Source organism: Homo sapiens, chromosome 3 (genome assembly GCF_000001405.40).
Source record: "Homo sapiens chromosome 3, GRCh38.p14 Primary Assembly".
Classification (NCBI taxonomy): domain Eukaryota; kingdom Metazoa; phylum Chordata; class Mammalia; order Primates; family Hominidae; genus Homo; species Homo sapiens.
In genome coordinates this window covers 14,080,622-14,086,053 of record NC_000003.12, presented here as the reverse complement: position 1 = coordinate 14,086,053, position 5,432 = coordinate 14,080,622, and the positions used below count along the sequence as shown (strand labels likewise).

Here is a 5,432-nt window from a genome sequence, read left to right as displayed (position 1 = left end):
GTCAGGAGTTTAAGACCAGCATGGCAAACATGATGAAACCCCGTCTCTACTAAAAATACAAAAATTAGCCAGACATGGTGGCAGGTGCCTGTAATCCCAGCTACTCAGGAGGCTGAGGCAGTAGAATTGTTTGAACCTAGGAGGTGGAAGTTGCAGTGAGCCAAGATTGCACCACTGCACTCCAGCCTGGGTGACAAAGTGAGACATCATCTCAAAAAAAAAAAAAAAAAAAAAAAAACCACTATGTCCTGCTAGCCTTACGTAATACAAATGAAGTCACTAAGTTGTCCATGGATAAAACATTCCAGTTAACTTTAATTTTAGACAAAATATGTATTAATTAAATATATAAATTAAACATATGTATATTGGCCTGCCTTGTGATGAAAGCTAATGATTTATGACTATGGCATATAGTTGATATTCACCTCTGTTCCCAATGTGTTTATACTTCAAAACTCAAACTCACCAAGGAAACAATCTTCTAAATCTTACTGCAGTCAGCTCATTTTCCTAAACTGTTACTACGTATAAGACACCTGATTTGACAGTTCCTATAACAACACATTATACATTTTAAATTGGATGTGGTTTTTACCTTAAACTCTGGTGATGGCAAAACCATTTTCCTCAAAGATGATTGGTTATGCAGGTCTATAATAGTGCTTAAATATAACCTTGCTATGCCAAGCTTTCTGACAAAGAGTAATCTTTTTATTTTGAGCCTTTTTGGTATTGAACATGATCTCTGCAAGAAGAATTTTTGCTTTATTATATTATTAAGAAATAACTGCATCTTGCTCCTTGAAAAAAACAGTTCAGGTCCTAATCGCTTCTCACCTAAGGTCACTTCCTTTTTTCTTTCTTTCTTTCTTCTTTTTGGGGAGACAAGGCCTCACTCTGTCACCCAGGCTGCAGTGCAGTGGCACCATCTCAGCTCACTACAACCTCCACCTGCTGGGCTCAAGTGATCCTCTTGCCCCAGCCTCCCAAGAAGGTAGGACCACAGAGGCGCACCACCATGCCTGGCTAATTTTTGTATTTTCTATGGAAATGGGCTTTCGCCGCATTACCCAGGCTGGCCTCAAACTCCTGGGCTCAAGTGATCTACCTGCCTTGGCCTCCCAAAGTTCTGGGATCACAGGCATAATCCCAGAGCTACCACGCCTGGCCTCACCTAAGACCATTTCAGTGGTTCTACTGGTCCCTCCCTACATGGTGGGCTTTTCATAACCTACCCTATTAACCATATTAACCTTTCTAAAGCACCTCATCCCTCTGCTGTTCACTTAGGTTTCCTTAAGGGTTCCTGCAAACTTTCAAATTGAGGAGTAAAGCTGCCTGGCATTCCGTGGCTTTCCGCTGCATGAGTCTAACCTGCATTTGGGTACGACTTAGGATTGCCCCCCTTTATGTACCCTTGGATGTGCCAAACTGGGGGTTTCACCTCCATGGGACCCGCATCTCTCACCTGAATCCCTTCTTTGATCATCTTCCCTCTGCTTAGAATGCCCTTTCCCAAACTCCTACTCACCAAAATCTTACTACATAATAATGGTATTGTGTTTATATAAAAAAGAAAAAAAGCATATGGAGGTATAAACTAAAAATTTAGAGATATAAAGTGAAAAATTTAGAGATAAAAACATTTTAAAAATTGTACTAGGACTTTAGGCTCTATATCAAATACCTATTCCTTTATGAAATGAATACTAATGACTCCAAACCTTCGACAAAATCCCTGGTGCTATGTGCTATGCATTACCGTAGGTGCTGGGTAAACTACACAGTTAAGTCTGAACCCTGCTGTTAGGAATTTAGTCTCACTAGAGACAGCACCTTAAACCAACAAATACCACGAAGTGTGATTCAGGCTCTGACGAAGGTGGGACCCCTGACAAGTCCTAATCCAGGCTTGTGGTAGGCAGCAGGAAGCATCCTAAAAAGTGATGTAGAAGGCCCTAATCCTCCTCTTATAATGCCCAAGACACCATTTACAGCTTTTCTGGTTTCTGGTTGTCTTTCATATTATCATGAAATGCATGTAAATAATGATCTTCATTATTTACTTATTCCATATTTGCAAATATGCCTATTGCTAAAATTTATTTGTAACCCCAAAATTAATATTCATTGCCATTTCTCAGTCATTCATGAACGTGCCAAGTGGTGAAAAATGTGAGTTTCCCAGTGCTCACTTTCCCAGCTGAGGTAGAATGAGGTGATGCCTGGCCTTCTTGTTCCACTCTAGAAGCAATCATACTGTCAACAAGTGTCACAGTCTAGCTAGAGTCACATTTTCCATATTTTGTGCTTTTTGTTGGTGATTCTGCTGTTTAAAATGGCCCCAATCGTAGTACAGAAGTGCTGTCTAGTGTACCTAAGTGCAAGAAGGCTGTGATGTACCTTATGGAGAAAATACATGTGAGAGAAACTTCACTCAGGCATGAGCTATGATGCTGTTGGCTATGAATTCAATGTTAATGAATCAACAATATATATTAAATAAGGTATTTCTAAATAGAAACATCAACAAAACAAGGTTGCATAATGATCGATTAATGAAAATGTTGTGACCCGAGGCTCACAGGAACCTAACCCTGTCTTTACCCTAGGAGCAGTGGCTCTGTGTTCCCTAACTCAGGGTTGGTGGCAACTTTATAGAACATAGCTACTTCAAATAAGAATTAACTGCACTTACAGTTCCTCTGAGGGTAGGATCTAATTTGCTCATCAGTTTATCTTTTGTGTGAATGCCTTTGCTACAAAATTAAATAACCATACAGTTTAACAAAGGCTGGATCCTAAAACAAAATAATTTTATACGGCATTAACTTCACTTTATAGCTTCAAAATGACCAACAATGGCTTTCACCAGCATGTTCTTCAGATTAGGGTCTGCTCCACTTTTTAGAAATTCTAAGGCACATTGTTTATGGGCTGGTAAGCTGCACAAAGCAAGGATGTGTTTCCCAACTGATCCAAACCGTTAACATCAGGAGGATTGAGCCTGTTGAGCTAACAGTTAAAGAAATGTGGACAGGCGTGGTGGCCCATGCCTGTAATCCCAGCACTTTGGAAGGCGGAGGTGGAAGTGTTGCTTGAGGAGTTTGAGACCAGCCTGGCCAACATGGAGAAACCCCATCTATACTAAAAATACAAAAATTAGCTGGGCGTGGTGGCACGTACCTGTAGTCCCAGTTACTTGAGAGGCTAAGGCATGAGAATCACTTGAACCCGGGAGGCGAATGTTGCAGTGGCAGAGATCACACCACTGCATTCCAGCCTAGGTAGCAGAGAGAGACTTTGTCTCAAAAAAGAAAAAAAAAAAAAGAAAGAAAGAAATGCAATGCAGAATTATATATCAAAGATAGACTTTCTCCCGTAATCCATGGGAAGGTGCATCTATCAGTAGAGCCTGAAGAACAGCCAGGCTCCTAGGCATCGTGGCTGTTAGTGCTTTCTTGCTCACTAAACCAGCCAATCCTGCCACTCTCATTGCTTGTTCTCAGATGATCTGAGATACATCTCAGGCCTGTGTCCAGGTGCCACACTCCCTTGACAGCATGCACCATGCACTGTGCCACTGCCATCCTACTCACCCCAGACATTACGATTTCACAACAATTTACCCAAAGAGGCCTTTTCGAATGAGCTGAAATAACTTCAAAGCAAATGGTAGTGCTTTAGTCATGAATTCAGAACAAATTTAGAGTTTCATGTTTAATGAGACCGTGCAGGAATAGAAACTGAAAGGTAGGTCTTCTAAAGGGAAAAACAGTGGGTAAAGCTTTGAGTCTAATGTGGTATAAATGTTCCAAAATTCTGTCCCTTCTTTGCATGTTATCTTCTGAAAGTATAGCATTCCTCTCAGAAATTCCCGCTGATCAAAGCTAGAAAAACTTAATTCCTTTATAGGGTCCTATATATTATGTCTCAATTTTCAATTGGCTTAATCTAAAAAAAAATTAAGTTATCCTTATGTTAACTATTTAACATGAAAATTCGGATTCTTATCCATCAGGTTTTTAGGGGACTGGGGCAGGTGTAAATCAGAAATTCAGAAAAAAATCACCATTTAAAACATGTCCTGCTTCAACTATTACCATACTAAGTCTGTGTGTGTGTGTGTGTGGGTATGTGTATGTGTGTTAAGATATTTAAGAACTTTTGTTCTATTATATGATTTCCGGAGTTTTTTGGTCCCACAATTCAACTAAACTATAAATTTAACATGAAGTAAAATTTCCCTGAAATATAAAGAAATAATGCTTTTTGTTTTTGGGGTTTTTTTTGTTTGTTTTACCAGAGCTGTGAGTTCTGTTGTTTTGTCTTCTATTGTTGCTGCTAAAAGTCATTCTTCAAGATTTCTTTGTTGAGTTCTTTCTATAGCTGCAAAAGAAAAGGACATGTTACTCCACTGCTAGTTAGGTTCTGATTACAAATTCATTAAAAACATGTATAAAAAATACAGTGATCATGATGAGAAAAATAAAAATGTTTTGGATTATAATTCAAATACAGTTATATTTTATTATTATTTTCATTTCCTTACATTTCAGATTATAGAGTTCAATTTATTTCAGATTTGGATGAATTTAAGTTTTTAATTCAGGGGTCTTTAAGTATTTTATTCACCACAACACTCATCACAACCAATTATGGATTACTTTTATATACTGAAATACTATTACATATCTGCCTTGGAAAAGTAAGTGGGGTTCATACCTTCCAGAACCTTAGAATGTAAAAGTAACAATAAAAAATAGCATTGATAAGAAGATGTACATGCCATATAAATACATGCAGATTTATGTCAATTTACTTATAAATTGCCACATAAGAATCAATTGATTGATACGGTTTTGCTCTGTTGCCCAGGCTGGAGTGCCATGGTGTGATCATACCTCACTGCAGCCTGGATCACCTGGGTTCAAGCAATCCTCCCACCTCAGCCTCCCAAGTAGCTGAGACTTCAGGCATGCACCACCATGCCTGGTTAATATTTTTATTTCTTGTATTGCTGAGGTCTATGTTGCCCAGGCTGCTCTCGAATTCCTAGGCTCATGTGATCCTCCCACCTTGACCTTCCAAATTGTTGGGATTACAGGCGTGAGCCACCTTGCCCAGCCTATGTTTATTTCTTTAACAAATACTTTAGCATGTACTATGTGCCAAGTGCTATTCAAAGCTCTTTAAAAATATTAACTCCTTAAATCATTGTAACTACCTGAAGTAGGGTTTGTTATTATAGTGACTTTTACAGATTGTTAAAGCAAACTAAATATGGCCTGAGAAGGACTCCGTACTTCTACATTTGAGTCCTTATGGATGAACAGTAACCTAGCTTAATAGTCAGACAAAATTGAAAACCTAACTTAATAGTATGCACTTGTAACAATAGCAGAGTGCTGGCCAATCCCAACGGCCGT

The 5,432-nt window shown here is 38.9% G+C and overlaps 1 annotated feature.

The window, feature by feature from the left end:
• Window positions 3,730–3,779: an enhancer, noted in NCBI's record as "active region_19495". NCBI's record gives its function as "activates an Ori minimal core promoter by ATAC-STARR-seq in GM12878 lymphoblastoid cells {active_cell/tissue: GM12878}" and the evidence as "EXISTENCE:reporter gene assay evidence [ECO:0000049][PMID:35858748]".